At 42.2% G+C, this 19,747-nt stretch overlaps 1 protein-coding gene and 1 long non-coding RNA gene across 5 annotated transcripts in view; one reads left to right on the plus strand and one right to left on the minus strand.

Annotated features, from left to right (window-relative positions):
* The window catches only part of LOC105378746 (uncharacterized), a 33,633-nt gene extending 22,515 nt beyond the window's left edge, over positions 1–11,118 (plus strand). The window contains exons 4-5 of the long non-coding RNA XR_007066127.1: positions 8,723–8,813; positions 10,806–11,118. This is a non-coding gene — a long non-coding RNA (uncharacterized LOC105378746). The remainder of the gene's footprint in view (positions 1–8,722; positions 8,814–10,805) is intronic.
* The window catches only part of DAB1 (DAB adaptor protein 1), a 1,551,949-nt gene that overhangs the window by 984,361 nt on the left and 547,841 nt on the right, over positions 1–19,747 (minus strand). The gene's annotated exons all lie outside the window — the stretch shown is intronic.

The raw sequence follows: 19,747 nt of genomic DNA on the forward strand, positions 1-19,747 counted from the left end.
AATAGCAAAGACTTGGAACTAACCCAAATGTCCATCAATAATAGACTGGATAAAGAAAATGTGGCACATATACACCATGGAATACTATGCAGCCATAAAGAAAGGATGAGTTCATGCCCTTTGCGGGGACATGGATGAAGCTAAAAACCATCATTCTCAGCAAACTATCACAAGAACAGAAAACCAAACACCACATGTTCTCACTCATAAGTGAGAGTTGAACAACGAGAACACATGGACATAGGGAGGGGAACATCACAGACCAGGGCCTATGGGGGATGGGGGGCTAGGGGAGGGATAACATTGGGAGAAATACCTAATGTAGGAGACAGGTTGATGGGTGCCAGCAAACCACCGTGGCATGTGTATACCTACGTAACAAACCTGCACGTTGTGCACATGTACCCCAGAACTTAAAGTATAATTTTAAAAATAGAATAATACATAAATAAAATAAAATAAGAAAGAATCAGATGAGAAGTCACTTCCTCCAGCATGCCTTGACAGGCATATAATGGAATGGGATTTGGTGTCTGGCTTTGAATTGCAGCATTATCACTTGCTATCTACATTATGTTAAGTACATTGATAACCCACCTAAGTCTCATTTTACTCATCTGTAAAATGGGGATAAAATTAGCCTTCCTGCAGGTTGGTTATGTGTCCCACTCAATACATTTTGATTCCCCTAATTCCTTCTTTAGATCCCTAATGTCAGTGGAATTTATTTAAACCCTCTTCTGAGCTCCCCCTAAAATTTACACACTTCTATTATTCTATAATTCCTCTATTTTATGAACAAAAAGAAAGGACTTGTTCATATCTTGAGTAGATTATTTTGACCTTGCCTGACCAGTGCCTCTCTGTCCAGTCTTGGTCTCTAGATTTCTATTTACTCAGAGTCATCATCTAACCAATACATATCAGATCAAGGCACTCTCCTCAGAGCAACCATTAATTGAATCCCTTCATCCATAAATCAAGTTCAAACTGCTTGGAATGCTATTTAAAGTTCATAATGCTATTTAAAGTTCATGGCAAGCTTGCCATGCCAACCCCAACTCCAACCACTACCACACACTCTCAGTAATTACTGTCCCTATTGTCCCCAGAATCAGCCATGGACTCTAAGCTCTGACTCGAGTCATCTCTACATGGAATGCTCTTTTATTACCTTCTCATCAATTGAAATTCTACCCCAATATCTAAGGTCTAGGTGAAATATCCCCCACTTTTCCCAAGCACTTCCTTATCTCCACTCTTCCCCATCTCCCAACAATTGGGAACAATGAAATAAATTAACAAATGGGGAGAATGACATCTCTTAGCCACCAATTAGTAAATGGAAGAAATGGGTTTCAAATTAGAAGCTTCTCATTCTAATGCACCCACTCATGCTTTCTTGCCCCTATCCCATGTTGCTTCTCCACCCTCTTCACTCCTATACCCATAACAGCAAGGAACTCCAGAATGCTCAGATACTGTAGGTGTCTGAAACTGTTAGTCTTGTAGAGTCATCTGCTTCTTTGCTTCTCTTTCCATTCCTGATAAAATGGATATGAAATGGCATATGATGCAATGGGGCAGTTTTATATGTTGCTGGCAGAAATGTAAGTGGAGGGAATTTCTGGAAAGCAGTTCGGCAGTATGTATTAAAAGTCTGCAAAATAGTCATAGTTTTTACTTAGTCATTCCTTTTCTGTAAATCTGTTTTAATAAACTAGTAAAAAGTAACTCTCTCTCTCTCTCTACATGTATATATGTATATATATATACACACACACACACACACATAGATATAGATAGATAAACATATATATATATGAATATAAAGAGATAGATACATACATACATACAAGGATAATATGACAGGGAAAGTTCAAAATTAGCCTAAATGCTTAAAAATACATAAATAGAAGTATTTAAACACTTCAATTCTAGAGTCAGAGAGAACAAACCTAGCTCTACTTTATAATACTTATATTATCTTAGGTACATTATTTAACCTTTCTGTTCATTATTTGCCTCATCTGTATACTCATCTCTATAAAGGCATACTAAAATCTACTTCATAGGCTTACCATGAGGATTGAAAGAGATTTTATAGGGAAAGGATATAACTCACAGTCTAATACATTAAATGTTCTCAATAAATATAAGCGAAGAAGGAGGAGGAGGAAGAGGAAGAAAAGAAGAAAGAGGAGGAAAAGAAGGAGGAGGAGAATAATTAGGAGAGATAGCCACTGTCTAGACTACTGTGCAGTTCTTAAGCATTATGTTAACAGAGTTTGAATTAATAATATGAAAAATAAATTAATGATCAGTGAAAAGGCATGATCCTAAATTGTATGTACAGCAGTAATCCAATAGAATAAAAAACTGTAGAAAAATATCAAAAGAAGATGTGCTTAATGTCAATAGTTATGCCTCAGTGATAAGACTATGCACATGTGTATAGGGGGTTGTAATCTTTCAATATCCTGGCTTTATATATTTTTTGCCTGCTTGTGACTATCCTTGCCCAAATAGTATCATGGATATCCTGAATGACATGGCAAAAATCACATCATAATTGTCCTCCATCTCTGTTGTCCCCTGACATAAATTCAGTGCTGAGCAAATGAGCCTTTTGGATTGAACAGGCAGCATTGTCTCCATTATTGCACAAGTTATTTCTATTGCAGATGCCCAAGCTAGTGCCTAGAACAGGATACTGTTCAATAAATATGAGTTTCCTTTCTCTTAACCCACTTGCTTTTCTGCTTTATTCTAAAATTTCCAAACTGTTTGGGAATAAAATAAGTGACTCTGAAAGCCCATGCCATCACTAGTTTCTATGTAACAGCTAACTGCATACTGCCTTTGGATCAACTGGCAACAGACTCTCAGTGACAGAAACACTGGTCTACAGAGTTGCCCTGGAAAATGGGACTGTGTTTTACCTAGCAGGGAGCATTTTTCAGGTAATAAGGTAGGGAAAATAGTTTGGCCCTTTCCTCAGGTGAAGTGGTTTTATCCTGGTGGCCTATTTGAGTTAGATTTAACTCTTTTTCCATTTACTTATTCAGTATTCATTGGGTGGGCAGCTACCATGTGCCAGGCATTGAGGATGCAAAGGTAAATTGTCCTTTAGAACAGAACCCATTTTAGGTAAATCACCCACATGAAGCAGAGAAGTCAACTGTGTGATTCACTAAATGACAAGCAATGGCTGCACTTGTCTAGCATATATTTGACATTAATAGTATAATAGGACTAGTGGACGTAGCCCAGGTGGCTTTAGAATTGGAAAATTCAAATCCCACCTCTGTTCCTTCTTAGGTATCTGACGTTGTGTCTGTTTCCTCATAAACTGCAATGCCAAGCTGGTGTCAGGATGAGAGCTCATCTATGGGTATTACTTAGCAAGCCCAATGCCTGACCAACAAGCAGTGGTTAGTGTCAGTCTTTTTATTGTGGTTTCAGTATCTTTAAGAAACCCTGCTACACATGAGGAAGAAGCATGCACCTCATCAAAGCTGCCTTCAAGGAAGCAAAATTCTCTATCATAACTAAGTCGGATGATTCCTCATTTTTCTCCTTCCATTCATTGCCTTCTGCTACTGGTTACTGATTTTAGTTTCTGTTTTATGGCTTCAATTCTGGCCCCTCATCCTTTCATAGAGGATGGGGAAATACGTAAGATGATAATTAACCTTTCTTTCTTCTGAGCTTTGTAAGCCTGGCACTGAGTTCAACACTTTCACCAATATTTTCTCATTTAATCTTCATGCTGGGCTTGAGGTAGGTATTGCGGTTCTACTTTGCCAAAGAGAAAACGAAGGCTCAGAGAGAATGTGAGACCTGAGGTCATAGAGCTGTTAAATTGTGGAGCTGGGTTGCAGCCAGATCTGTTTGAGTCCAATTCCTGCTCTTACAGTGTACGGTGAAGCCTCGTGTCCATTCTCATTACTCAATTAGATCATTGGTCATTCCTCTTTAGGAAGGCAAAACACAGACAGAGATAAGTCTTCAAAATGCTCAATCTCTCTGAATCAGATTTATGACACCCAAGATGTACACATTCACTAAATTTGGAGGTCAAAGCAGCCTTGGCCTTCAACATATTAAATAAAACAGAGATCTTGAGAACTTTCATGACTTGTTCAAGCCCACATATAAAGCTTGTGGTAGAATAAGAACCAGAAAGGGTCTCTTCCCAAACATAGGAACATCACCCTTATTTAAAGTCACACTGAAAGATTCAGGGGTGAAATCTGGCCAACATTTTCTGGGCATTGAGTGACGGGAATCCCAGGCGGCCAATGAGCTCACTGGGCAGAGTAGAAGAGGACCATAGCCTGGGCACAGAACTGCCTGCAAAAGGACCCACATGAATGCTAAATAGCTCTCCTGCAGCCAGGAAGCAAAAGCAAACTGAGGTCCTCATGCAACTGAAAAGCAAGGCAGTAAGGACACATGCATGTGTCATAACAAATTAAGAGTCACTGAGTGAGGACCCCAGCGCCGCTATTCCTGCAGCAGGATCTGCCACTGGTCCCACGTCAGCAACTGGAGGCTGTCTCACACAGGGACTTGAAAATAGAATGTCTTGCAAATATTTTCTTTCTAAAATCTCCTTGCAGAAGCCTCCTTATTCTTTCATAATCACCACAAAGCAATCCTCAGTCAAGTACTAAAGTAAATTCAAAGCAATTAGAGTGTCTATCTACAGTGAGCCCGAAATGTGTTTGCAGTGGTTCTCCGGGAAATGGCTTGGCGTACATTTTCCCCAGAATAGTGCTATTTGTGTAAAGAAGATGCTGCTCATACCCAATGTATAAAAACATACACACGCGCACATGCACATGTGCACACACACATTTACTATGACAAATGGATGCAACATCTCAAGAGTAAAATATTGTGTTGTGGGTTACAAGCCAAAGCAAGGCAGCCCCGCTCCAGTAAGCACTTATAAATTGTTGTAAAAAATATCAAGAAATAGGAGCTCGCCTTGGTAATATAACAGTTGCAGGATTTCAGGGCCCAGGACTAGCTTAAAAAAAAGAAAGAAAGAAAGAAAGAAAGAAAGAAAGAAAGAAAGAAAGAAAGAAAGAAAGAAAGAAAGAAAGAAAGAAAGAAAAAAAATTAAACAGCCAAACCCATTGCTTCAAATATCTGCTGGATCTCTAGGGTGGTCTTGTGTTTCTAATTAATATTTCCCCCTAATTACAATAGTGATGGTAAGTGTGTTAAATGCAAAACTCACTCCTTTCTTCACCACAGAGCTATTGGGGGAGAGGAGGCAGGCACTCTAGGAGGAAGGCTGGCCAGCTTCATTGTGATGCAAAAGAATGCAACAATTAAGAATATAATTTTGGGAGATGTCAGCAGCCTAATTACTCATAGGGCTTCCAGCAAATTAAGCAGTAGGTGAATTAGCTCATTTAATGAGATCTAGAATTTGGAGGCAAGTTACTTTTACTTTGCATTTGAGAAACAAATGTCTCTACTACATGTTAATAATTTGGGCACCCCAACATGCAATTAGCTCAACAGATTCTGTGAAAGCATAAAGGTCAGTTGCTTAAAAGGATCTGTAAGTCAGTTAAATTGCATTTATCTGCTCCCTGAATACCCTCTCTCTCCTCTTCTGTTTCTTTTCTTCCCAAATGCAGTCGTCCAACTTGGAGAGCATAGAGTTCAATAAAGGGGCTTTGGAAACTACAGCTTTCAGAAAAGGGTTAAAGGAGGCACAGTGGAAATTGCATTGAAAACCTGCTTTAGTTGTTGTTGTTTTTTTTTTGAGATGGAGTCTCACTCTGTCACCCAGGCTATAGCACAGTGGCATGATCCTGGCTCACTGCAACCTCCGCCTCCCAGGTTCAGGTGATTCTCCTGCCTCACCTCTCAAGTAGCTGGGATTACAGGCGCACGCCACCAGGCCCAACTAATTTTTGTATTTTCAGTAGAGATGGGGTTTCACCAGTTTGACCAGGCTGATCTCAAACTCCTGACCTCAAGTAATCCACCCGCCTTGGCCTCCCAAAGTGCTGGGGTCGCAGGTGTGAGCCACCACACCCGGCCTGCTTTAGTATCTTAATACCTCTCTAATCCTTTGTTTCTGTGTTTGTAATGTGGAAATAATGACACTCATATTACAATTTTTCTATGTACTAGTCAAATTTCTTTACAAGATGGTATTCCTTGAAGACAGGAAATGTGGTATTTATCTCTGTATCTTAGCACCTATCACTGTGCCTGGAACATGTTTGTGTCACCCCAAAATTCATGTGTCGAAATCCTAACCCCCAAGGTTATAGTATTAGGAGGAGGTCAGGCCTTCGAGAGGTGATTAGCATTAACACCAACTTCTGTGCCTAGAACATAATATACGCTTAATATGTATATTAAATAAAGATTAATTCAAAGGAATAGGTGAATAAATAACTGGTGTAAGGAGTCAAGGAGAGAAAAATATAAAGTTTCCAACGTGGTCCCTGACTCACAGTAGACCCTCAAGAAAGAAAAAAAAAAAATGGCTGTGAGTATTAGCCACACTGGAGTCTTGAGTTAGGTTTTGTGAAGAAGGAAGAGTCAAAGTGTCCCGGACAGAGTTGTCTTGTGACCTAATAGCGGAGAAAATAAGATGCGTGGTCAGTGTTCTTCATATGTCACACAAGCACAGAGACTCAAATGCTGCCCAAGACTCAGGGACTCTCAGTGTACTCAGAAAGGGTGTGAACAACCTAAGTGATCACACCATGCACCAGAGACTCTGCAAGGAGCTTCCCATCTATCAGGATGTTTTATCCTAACAGCCCTATGAGATAGGTATTGTTATCCTTTCTTTTTATAGATGAAGCAGCTGAAGCTCAGAGAGATTAACCAACATGTTCAAACTGACACAGTTGATCATACACATTTCTAGGCATTCAATACCCTTCACACTTGACACAGAGGCCAGTATAGGACACACCAAGCTATCTTGTAATTGTTGCTCAGCTCTGCCCTCAACCTGGGAGCTAAAAGGGGGAGGAGGAGAAGGAATCACCTAGCCTTGACTCTCACTGCTATGGCCTGAATGTTTGCGTGCCTGCAAAATTCATATATTGAAATCCTAACCCCTGAGGTGATGGTATTGGAGGAGGTGGGGCCTTTGGGAAGTGATTAGGTCATGAGGGTAGAGTCTTCTTGATTGGGATTAATGCCCTTATAAAAAAGACCCGAGAGTGCTCCCTTACCTATTCTACTACTTGAAGATACAGCAAAAATGTGCCATCTATGAGCCAGAAATCAGGCCCTGACAAGACACTGAATCTGCCTTGATCTTGAATTTCCCAGCCTTTAGACATGTACAAAATACATTTCTATTATTTCTAAGCCACCCAGTCTATGGTATTTTATGATAGCAGCCACAATGGACTAAGACACCCATTCTGTCTTCTCTGCAGTCTCCCTTACAGAGGACCACGTGTTCTCCGCTGCTTTACCTTCTCATCTAACATTAAATGAGAAACCGCAATTCAGGAAGTCCTTTGGTTTGTGAAACAGAACTGAAGGCTTCCTCTTTTTTGACCTTATCAGGAAAGTGTCTTCCAAAGTCATTTCTTGAGACTAACTCCAAAGCCACGTCCTCTCCATGACTCTCCACAGAGAACGTTCTATCTCTCAAAGGCTTTAGTAACCATTATTATTCAAATTATAATTAGCTACCATTTATTAACTGTTTATTACAGGCTGGACCCTGGGCCCTACATTCGTTGTCTTATTTCTCACTAAAATCCACATGAGATAGTTACTATTATTACCCTTAATTCATAGGTAAGTATACGAGGTCAGAGACTTTAAATGAATTGTTCAAGGTCACTCAGCTTGTAAGGGGTAGTGCTGAAAATGTCACATCAGGTTTTCTGACCCCAGGGCCCATGCACTAACTGTTCTATATTGCCTTTGTTGGATGGCTCTGATAGTTACAAAAATATTTTTAAAATAGAACTAAAACCTGTCCTGAAACTTCCAACCATCAGGTTTCTTTCTCTGAAACCATAGAGAACAAATCAGCCCCATTTATAGGACGCTCTTCAGATAATGGGAACTGCAGCTCCCTGCACAGCATCAGCCCTTCCAGCAGACAATTCTTCCCAGCCACATAGACACATCCGGGTTCTATTTTCTATAATGGTAACTTACAGTTTGTGAGTCTATTGTTATTTTTACCTTTTGTGTGAGGTATTTCACTGATATGATCTCACTCAACCCACCACGATGTTATGAAGGTAGTATTGGTTCCCTAGTTATAAAGAAGAGCAAGCTGGGGCATAGGAAGGTGAAGTTTATTGTCCAAGGTCAAAGGTTACCAAGTAGCACAGCTGAGATCCCCAAGATTCAAACTGAAGTGTGCCAAAAGTTAAGACATGTGCTCTTTCCACTGTGGTATGAAACCTTTTTGAATGAATGAATAAACCATACGTGGCAGAGTGTGATAAGCTACCTTAAGAGAGGTCCAAAGGAATGCTAAAGGTGCTCAGCTCTGAAATGGAGATGACTTCTTTCCCACCAAGTCTTCAGTGAGGCTGCACTAATTACCATTTATATAAGATGCCTGCCTGCCTCTGCTGGCGCTCAGAGAGAAGTTTTAATTTGCTGGTGAAGGAGTTGGGGGAGGGAATGGAGAGTGCTGTGAAGTGTCCCCTCCAAAGTGAGAGGGTTTTTTTGTTTTTTTTGTTTTTTTTTTCAGGAAAACACTGGTCGGTTACTAATGGAGAAGAAGAAAAAGCAGCAAAGACAACGAGTATACTTGGGATGCGATCGCATGCCTGGAGCATCTGGTGGGCAGGATTCACTCGTCCTTTCCTTTTTGAGATTGCAATTAAGTAGATAATATGAGAGAGAACTGACAATTGGGTTGTCCCTACTGAGCTTGGGGCCAGGTGTGTACTTAGGAACCCAATCCCACCCAGAAGAGACTCATCTATGTTAACACTAAGGATGCCCTGGAGGAGGTCCTGACCACATACATGCGGCCATTGGTTGATTTCAGCTTTGCAAGCAGCGTAGTGAGAAAACCAAAAGCTTGTCCTATCCAGACTGAGCTTGCCAGGGAAGCAGAGGCCTGAGGTTACTTAACGAGAGGCAGGCTGCCAGAGTGGAGACACAGGGCATGTACAATCATACAAACCTGCATACCAATTCTGCCCCCCCACTCACTCTGTGGCTGTGTCACCCTGGCAAGTGACTTAACCTCTCTGATCTTCTTTTCCTCACCTATAAAATGGGGAAAATGAAATGTATCTCAGATTGGGGATTCGAAGGTTTCAAATGACCATTTAGGTAAACTTCCTGGAACATAGTATGTGTTCAGGAACCTTGAGTTCCCTCCCCTTGGGAGAAGACCCCTCACACTGAGCTGGGGAGCAGGATCCTGGTCACTGAGACTTCTTTTCTGCACAAACTTCATCTTGGCCTCTAATGAGATGGAATCCCCCAGGGCCTGTTGCCTCCTGTTATTGCAATTTAAGCACAGCCAGTGCTGACTGGGCTGTTAGACTCCAAAGGTTCCCTGGTAGAAAATTTGAGGGGTGTGGGATGGCAAGGGATTGAGAGAGAGGGGTGGGGACTTCAGATAGCCAGTATTCCTTAGCCTTCCAATTCCTTAACAGCCAAATTACCCTAGAGCCTCTTTATGAAGCTAAAGAAATACAAATACTATTTTCAAATCAGCAGGCATTCCCAATGTTGGCTTTTGCTGAGGGTAGCTAAGAGGCAAAGCATACCTAGATCCTAGGCCAGACCTCAACAGCCTTAGTTCTGGCTCCTTCTGTTTCCATATTTCTCAAGAACCTGGTTTTCTCTGCTGGAAGAAGCATTTTCAGAGGTCATCTGAAGTCTACAGCCCTCCCCTCTGCGAGGAGAGCACAGACTTGAAGTCAAGTGGGCCTGGGCTCCAAATCTTAGTTCTGCCACTTACTAGCTATGTGGCCTTGGACAAGTTACTTAACTCCCCCATGCCTCAGTTTCTCTGGATACCAAATGGGGATAATGATGCTAATACCTCATAGAGTAGGCATGAGGGTTATATGAGTAAAGTGCTGAGAAAGGAGCCTGATAGGTAATTACCTGATCCCCCTCCTCTCGCTAGAGCCCCCACACCCTGGTGATACTCACCACTATGCCTTCACTTTATAATCAACAGAAACACTTCAACACCCATCCCAGAAAACACATGAAATACTCACATTACACAAAGATCAAATGAGTGGGGATGATTAAACCTATTTTCCTTTTGATTCAAACAAGTGGAGTGCTCTGTCCTTGGCCACACAGTTTAAAGAATGAAGCCAGGACTACATGCCAAACAGCATGACTCCTAGGGTAAAGTTCTTCCCACCCCATGAAGATGCCCTCACCCCTCAATTTCTCCTGACTGTTTCTTTAAATAGAAAGGTTTTGATGGAAACACTAGTGACGTATATGAATTTTGAAGCAGATATCCATTTTTAATATAGGAAGGAAGACATTAAGATGTCAAACTTGGGGCTGCTAAATGAACATCTGTAGCCCAAACATGGGGCACCAGGGCTGGGAGGCTCAGAGAAGTAATTGCCACAAAAAAGATGCACCAGGACATTGATTTCTTCTGCCTGTTTGCTTGATTTCCACTTTGAGCTTACTCAATTGGCTATTCCTCTGTTTTGCCACCTCAAGAACATGACCCCAGCTCATTTGAATGAAAATATGTTTGCCATTACCTCATTAATTTCTGAGACTTTGCATTATTTTTTACACCCACCTCCTTTCTTTTCTTCTCCCTCAAAATTCAGAGTATTGGTTGGAAAGAGGTAAATCAGGCACCATTTCTCCATGATGTGTCAGGACCTGAATCTGTCATTTGCGAGCCTGACCTCATAACTCAGCCAAGCCAAGCTGCAAGGCACCCTGGGAACCCATCACTGAAAGACTGCAGAGGGAGGAAGGCAAGGGCAGGAATAGCCAGCTGGTCAAGCAGCAGAGTGTCTCCTCAGCTCCCAGGAAATGGTGTCTAAGGGTGATGATGAACTGGGACTTCATCTGAGTCCAAAATAATGATGCTGCTGATGCAACAGCAGAACTTATTAAACACTTACTACTGCATATGCCACTATGAGGTAGACTTACAGAGAATAAGTTACTCTCCCATAATCACACAGCCAGTAAATGACAGAAATGGGATCCAATCCAAATATGTTTCATTCTAAAGCCCATGCTCTTCACCAACAAAGCCCAACTTGATTTAATTTATCCCCAAACATACCAACATCCATTTGTTAGTTCCCTTCCCAATTTAACTTTAAGCGTCTCACATACATACACTGTTTTTATCCTAACAACAAGTTGGTGAGGAACTGAGCTCAGAGAGGTTAATCCACCCACTGAAAGGCACCCAGTGTTTAAGAGCAGAGGGAGGGGCCTGACACAGGTCTTTCGGAGCATGACATGCATGTTCTGTCCACAAGGCCTGTTGCTGCCTTTCCCCCAGAGGTCCAGACTGAGGACGGGACAGAGTAGATAAAGACAGCAGTGTGAGAGGAGGCAGTGGGCAATATGGGGAATCTAGGGGCAGCAGTATGCTGGTCCCATATAATCAGGCCCGGGGGAGGGGCCCAGACAGAGGGTGGCAGACTCTCTGTACTCCAGCAAGACAATCCCAGAAGAAATGCCAGAGAGATCAATGAGAAGGCCAGTCATTTACACTGGGCACACACACAGTGTTTAGGGTACTCAGATAGGTACCCAGGCCTCACCCCAGGCTGTTTGGACACCAGGAGTCATAGCACTCTTCCAGGCCACAACTGCTACTTGGGGTGGGAGGAGAGGATGAGACGTGGCATTTGTGGAATAATGACTGTGGCCAAGCAGTGGGCTCTGTATGATGCCATCGTCAATTCTCACAGCAATTCTACAACATAGGTTTTGTTACTTCTCTCTCACGCTTTACCCTAAATTTCTCCTGCCTACCACAGTGCTTGGCACACACAAACAGAATAATAATGTGTGGAACTGACTAATTCATTTTCCATTCTGCTGGTCAGGGAGAAATTAATAGAGGCAGAGGCTATTAATAAAACATTACATTACCTCCAATGAGTGTGGAATAATTCTCTAAAATACTGACAATCAGTAACTTTTCTGGTAACCTAAAATTTCAGTCAACTTCTTGTGGGTGACAATGCTATGTTGTTTTATTTTGATGAGTTAAATTCAACAAGCATCGACTAATATACACCCTTAGCCAGGCATTGTTCTGGGGATAAAGAATGAAAGATGGCTCCTGCCCCTGAGTCACCTCCTGGGCAAGCTGGACTCGCAGAGGACAGGAACACCATTGTATGAGCAGTACTGTGACTGCCGAAGCACAGAAGCCATGGGAGGCCAGCCCAAAGGAGAGGCATAGGAGCAAGCCCAAGACCGGGCATGATGGTTGATGCCTGTAATCCTAGCACTTTGGTAGGCCAAGACGGGTGGATCACTTGAAGTCAAAAGTTCAAGACCAGCCTGGCCAATGGCGAAACCCCATCTCCGCTAAAAATACAAAAATTAGCTGGGTGTGGTAGCAGGCACCTGTAATACCAGCTACTTGGGAGGCTGAGGCAAGAGAATCACTTGAACCTGAGAGGCGAAGGCTGCAGTGAGCTGAGATCATATCACTGCACTCCAGCCTGGGCAACAGATTGAGGCTCTGTCTCAAAAAAAAAAAAAAAAAAAAAAAAGGAGTAGGCCAGAGAACGCTCTCTAGAGCTGCTGATGGTGGAAGGGAGATTGGATGCCCGAGTTGAGAAGGTCAAGTCAAGGAGGACATTCCAGGTAGAGACCTGCACAAGCAGACGCAGAGACACAGCAGAGTGGAGACCACATGCAGTCAGCCAGAGCTCGCTGTACTTGATGGCTGTCTCTTCCACAAAGTGGGAATTCCTTTTTTACCGACTATGAAACTAATACAATAATGTTGGGTGAAAGAAGCCAGACACAAAAAAAATACACACGGCATGATTCCACGTACATACAGTATATAAAGTTCAAAGGTAGGTGAACCTAATCCATGCAGTTAGAAGACAGCATTGTAGCTACCTTGGTCAGGTGCTGACTGGCAGAGGGTAGGATAGGGCTTCAAGGGTGCCAGAAAACCTTTACTTCTTCATATGGGTGCTGGAAACATGGTTGTGTCCCTTGGAAAAATTCATCAAGTTCCATAGATAGGACTTGTGCACTTTTTCATATGTATGTGCTATACTTCAATTTACATCAATGAAGGAACACAAAGTTATTGAAAAATAGGCAGTGTAGATAAAGATGAGGTAGAAAATATAATTCCACTACCCAGGAGTAAGAAAGGGAAATTTTGCTCCCTGCACTTTCTCAGTCTGGCCCAAAGGAAGGTGATGAGAACTGGCATCTAGGTGTTTATGATGTGCCCCAGAATCACTTCTCTCATAAAGAGGACACTCAGCGTTTTCAGAGTGAGGACAGATTCTTTCTGATTGATTCTCTCACTCTGGGTCCTGTCCTAACTGATCATTGTATTAACCTTATAATAAGGCAGTTGTGCATTTTACATGGAATTTTAGGCTCTGCTTGAATCCTTGTGGTGGTGTTTTACCATGTATCTAGATGCTGTGTTTTCACTGCTTGATTGCCCTTACTATTATTATCTACAGCTGGTGCCATGTCACTACCATGAACCTCTCAGTGGCCAGGAAACCAAATTCCACTTCTAGACCCCGATGCAGTTACCTAGGAGGGAAAGGACTACCATACATTGAACTTCTACCATATGCCAGGAGCTTACATGGGTTATCTTCCTTCATCACCAACTCCGCACAGCTATGTAAATCTCAGTACACCTTTTTATGAGCAAGAAAAAACTGAGGTTGACAGAAGTGGAGTAACTTATCCAAGGTCACATAGCCAGAATTGGAAACTTAAAAGCCCAAGCTTTTCCTATTGACCCTCACTTAACACTTTCATGAGCACTTACCCTGAGCACAACACATTTAGGGTGATTTCCAGCTATTCCTCCATTTCTCCTGGTATTCTTTGCTAGGGTCACGGAATGCATGGGTATTTCAGAGAGGGCTAGAAATCTCTGACCACTCTCTCAGATAATTCAATTTGTCACTCTATTAAAAAGAAAAAAAGATAAAATAATAATACTACTGCTGGCCATGTCCTAGAGGGGAGGAACCCACCGGAGTCTTTCCAATGAGCAGATAATATATTTAAATGCAGTCCATCAGTCAGTAATCTGCTGCCACCCCATCCTCGGAGAGCTGCTTTATTGAACACTGTAATTGCCTGGATGGTGTTATTCATTTCTGTAGCTGTTGATATTAATTAAATATTTTTGTCGAAAGCTCCCCATGACATTTCTTGCTGCATTCTTGAATATCTGATAAGATATACAGTCAGTACACTGGTACCCGCTGCATTTGGCTGATAGTCTTGTCCTAGTTTCTAACCCTCAAAACGCTAAAGAAATGACACGGTTTTAGTGGAATGAGGACTTCTATTGTTACAGAGTTTGGGGGAGTAGGGGGAGTCCACAAGTCTTAGTGAAATAGATGCAAATGTCACGTTTTAGAGCTCATTGTACTGGCAGAAGCTGGAAATTGGCCTAGACCCTTATTCAAAGGTTTAGCTCGTTCCTTAGGTCAAAGAAAGTTCAGTTGCACTGGTTCCTACAATCCCAACCCCAGTAGAAAGAGGCATTTAGGCATTCATTCATTAGTATTTTACAAGTATCTCTGGAGGTCCTACAATGTGCCAGGCCCTGTGCTAAGTGCTGAAAACACAGAATTTAAATAATACAAATACAATATAAAATAAACCAAAGAGGTCTCTCTCCTTATAAAAGCGTAGCCTGTTGGGGAACAGAGGCAAGGCTACTATAGCAGAAGGCACACTTTAATTCCAGGTGTGAACTAACAGTAGGAACAGCTGAGGCTGCAAGGCCTCTGACTATTAAGTCTGGCAGCAAAAGGCGGAGGACAAAGGGAGTAAAGTGTACATAGAGCAAGGTAACCCAGCTGAGACAGAGATGAGATGCTGAGTTTGTCTATATGAGGAACTGAAGCCTGCAGAATCCTGTGGTCCTGCATTGATCTGGATGACATGTATGAGGACTTTTATTTTACTTTTTCCTTGAAAGAGGAAAGAATCTGAGATCAGAGACCTTGAAGGAAGGAGGAGGACAACAAAGGAAGAGCATGGCATCTGCAACCTCCCTCTTCCACTTCATTTCTGGTCTGAGTTGGAGGCTGTATGAGCAGAGAAGTGAGGTCAGAAGCTGAAGCCGTTGTGTTTGTAAGAGACTCAGAGCACAGGCCAAGCTGCTGTGAGGCCTAGATGCACAGAGCACTTCTGGGAGTTGGGGAACAAGGCTTAGCTCCTTCACTGATCCCAAGCATGCTCCAGTATCCTAGGACCAGCAGCTTTGGGGCATGGGGAGTAAGCATCTCTGTGTGGACACTGGCCTACTTATGTTGGGCATTATTCGGATGGAATAGACAGGCACATTCAGAGGGCTTCAGGATAGCATCCAACACTGGGGGCGGACAGGATGTGGGTAGCGGACTGACTGGTTTGATGAGAATAGATGAGCATACACCTGGAGATCCTTGTGGGTGGGGACAACTCTAAAGGGTGATGGAATTCTTAGGAGGAAGGAGCTTTCAGCTAGAAAAATTTGAAAGCAACTATTAACAAGTGAAGCAGACTTGTAATGTTTGGATTGTTTAGTGATTAAAAAAAAAGAAAGAAGAGAGGAAGAAAGAAGGATGAGACCATTGGCACCTGGAGAGAGGATGTCAGAATTACCGGAGCAGAGCAGTGTGGTACAGCCGAAAGAACACTGACGGTTAGGAGACCTTGTGCTGGTCCTTGCTTTGCTGATAACTGTCTGTGTTTTGCTGAGCAAGTTACCACCCCTCTCTGGGCCTCAGTTTCCTCAACTGCAAATGAAAGGCAAAGACAGTAGTTTCCAGCTCCCCCAGGTACATGATTTCAGATGAGCTACTTATAGGGTACTCAAGTTTTTAAATGCAGGAACCTCCTAATATCAGGTGAGGGTTACACATGAAAATATAACAAAGTGAGAGAAGAGCAAAAAGTTGAGGTTCTCATAGCAACCAGAATTCATAGCAGCTGTGCATTGTTAAAGGGACTTCTCCTGACAGACTGATGAATAATCCCAAAGTCTACCTATTGTGCAGGAATTGCCAGGGACTCTTTTGGGGAGAAAGTGGGGCACAAAGGTAACACTAGCCAACCATTTTATGAGATTTTTAATCAATGCAAAAAAATTTGGCAACATTTTCAATGAAAGTGTGCAAATAAAAATGCATCTATATTTAATGAGGCACTCTATTTATTCAATAATAAATGCCAGTTGGTTATTAATAAAATATTGCTGTCATTAATCCTCAATAAATACAGTTAGAGTAATTAGTATTAAAGTGACACAGAATACTTCATAATGCAAAGGTAATTTTCTCAACGTTAATGGATTATTCAAACAAACCTTTACTCACAGCTATCAAGATCAAGACCCTCTAGGGAAAAAGGACTAGCGAGTTACAGGGTAACCTTGAAAACTTTGAAAGTTTAAAGACTTGAAAATGAGGCCAGCAGGGGTCTTTAAATTGCTATTGAGAGTCTCAGGTTTCTCAGAAAAAAAAAAAGGTACAGAAGCCCCACAGACCAAGCACATACATGGATCCAGGATAGAATCTAAATTCTACTAAATTTATTAAGTTGTGTGACCTTGGCAAAGTCATTGAGCTTCTTTGCACCCTAGTTGCTTCATTTGGAAAATGAGGATAGTCTGGGCGCGGTGGCTCATTCCTGTAATCCCAGCACTTTGGAAGACCGAGGCGGGCGGATCACTTGAGGCCAGGAGTTTGAGATCAGCCTGGCCAACATGGTGAAACCCCGTCTCTACTAAAAATACAAAAATTAGCTAGGCATGGTGGCGGGTGCCTGTAATCTCAGCTCCTCAGGAGGCTGAGGCAGGAGAATCTCTGGAACCCGGGAGGCAGAGGAGGCAATGAGCTGAGATCGTGCCATTGGACTCCAGCCTGGGCCACAGAGTGAGACTTTGTCTCAAAAAAAGAAAAATAAGGATAATGATCTTCCCCATTCAGAATTGTGATGAGAATTAAATGAGATTATGTATTTTTCAAAAACTTAGCACTATACATAGTAGAAGTTTCGAAAATAACAATTCAGACTAAATCCCATAAGTAACAAGGTAGCAAGGTAGTGTAGCAAAAGAGATCATAAATCCTGTTTTCTGAGGATCCCAAATTTTGGAAATTTGCCCTCATTTGCTGGGTTGAAATTCACGTTCTTTATCTTTTCTCAAAATTATGACTATCATTCATGAGCCCTTGCTTTGATCCTTTCTGGTTTATCTAAGCTGTTTTTATAGATGTCAAATCACTTTGACAGCATCTTCCGACTGTGACAGAAATAATGCAGAAGGGTGGAAAAGTGTAACTCTGAGAATAGGGAAAATTGCATCCCCCCTTCTAGCTCTGCATAGATGTCAGACAATCATGTAACTCACTGGGCTGTGGTCTTATCAAATGTTGGGACAAATTATTTTTATAAGTCTCTCAGATTTTAGCATGTAATTATTTTATGACTCTTCCCTTAAATTGTGGATTCTTAGAATTTTCTCTTCCTTAGTGATTCGTTTTAATGCCAGGCCACTCTTAGCATTTGGGGGGTCTGTTGGTGAGCCTGGAGAGTGTAAAGTATTGTTAGAGTAGGTAGTTAGGCATGAGCAGAGCAGGATAGAGATCCGCCTCCACCCCACTGCCAACCAGGAATGTCAGAAAACCATCAGGTGATGGTCAGGTAGTTGTTAAACTATCTTTCTCAAATAATAAGTGGTTGCAGTCAGCACCAGGGAAAGGCCATCTCCCAGTACATAAAAAAACACCTGAATCTGGTGATTAGCAGCTTCCCAACTTATTGGGAAGCTCGGCAAGTGGGCACCAGCATGTTCACTAAGAGGTAAAATGGAGGAGTTTAACTAGTATATGATCTTTCTCTATGAACACTCGACTGGTAAGGGAAGAAAGCCTCCAGTGAGCACATGTACAATTTAAGTAAAACACTGTGCATGCAGGCCCTCTCAAGTGCTGGAAGTGCTGGCAGGCCACTGCACATGCAGAAAGCCCACATATAAAACCCCAAGTCAAAGATCTAACTGTGCACTTGAATCTCTCAAGTTGCCTGCTTGGCCCTCTTCCAAGTGTACTTTACTTCCTTTCATTCCTGCTCTAAAACTTTTTAATAAACTTTCACTCCTGCTCTTAAACTTGTCTTGGTCCCTCCCTCTGCCTTATAGCCCCTCAGTTGAATTCCTTCTTCCAAGGAGGCAAGGTTTGAGGTTGCTGCAGACTCCTACAGATTTGCCACCACTAACAGCATCCGATTTGGGGAGGATACCCCTAGTGATTAGCATAGTGCAACTCCCCTTAGGGAAATATTGCTGAACTGGGGGTGAAGACTAGGGAGAATAGAAGTGGGGTCTGAGGGGAGAAGGAGAAATTTTTATGCAGTAGAAGAATCTGAGACAGCACTGACCAAATCCAGAATCAGAATCATTTAGTTTCCAGATAACAACCTCGTTGCTGCTGAAAGGTGAAGTTCATTGGTCCCCAATTTGATCTAATGACTACAAGTGTATTCTGTGTGCCAGCCACTATACTAGATAGGAGTAACACAGAGCTGAATATGCAGTTTCTCCCCTCAAGAACCTTGCACATGAACAAATCACTGTATTAAATATGATCAGTGCCAGAAGAGAAACAAAATAGTATCTTTAGAAAACCTCTATTCTGCCTGTCTTCTAAAGAATAAAGGTAGGAGGGGAATGAAAGCCCTTCATAAACTCCTCAGAAAGCTCTTGTCTGTTTTGATCTGCTCCTTTGCAAGTTCTCCCTGGTACTTCTAGAAATTCTGTGTCCTGCCAGAGACAATGTAGTATAAACACACGTAGGTATAGGACAGTGTAGGCCCTGGAATAGTCTGGGTCTGTATCTCGATTCTGCCATTGCCTAGCCTTGTGCATGACCTTGAACAAGTTATTTAACACCAAGTGCCTCAGCTCCCTCAGCTGTAAGCTGGGATAATAATAGTGCTTCCTCACTAGATATTTGTAAATTTCAAATGATGTCACTGGGTAATCACTTAACCTCTGAGTCCTCATCTTTTTTTTCTCTCTTTTTTTTTTTTTTTTTTTGAGACAGATTCTTGCAATGGTGCGATCTCAGCTCAACCTCTGCTTCCTGGGTTCAAGTGATTCTCCTGCCCCAGCCTCTTGAGTAGCTGGGACTACAGGCGCACACCACCACACCCAGCTAATTTTTGTATCTTTAGTAGAGACGGGGTTTCACCATGTTGGCCAGGCTGGTCTCAAACTTCCGACCTCAGGTGATCCACCTGCCTTGGTCTCCCAAAGTGCTGGGATTACAGGCATGAGCCTCACTCCCAGTTTTAATGTGACAAACAGAGATAAGACTTTCTAGAGTAGTTTGAGGAATTAACGTACACATGTATATAATTTAGCATATTGCCTGGCACATAGTAGATGTATGAAAAATGCAAAGTCCTTTCAGCTAGGGAGAGAATATTAGGATTTTTAGGCAACAGTATCCACAGATACTCTTTCTTGTGGACATTAGTAACAGAGTTTGCACTTGTTCTTATTGCCAAGTAT

Source organism: Homo sapiens, chromosome 1 (assembly GCF_000001405.40).
Source record: "Homo sapiens chromosome 1, GRCh38.p14 Primary Assembly".
Classification (NCBI taxonomy): domain Eukaryota; kingdom Metazoa; phylum Chordata; class Mammalia; order Primates; family Hominidae; genus Homo; species Homo sapiens.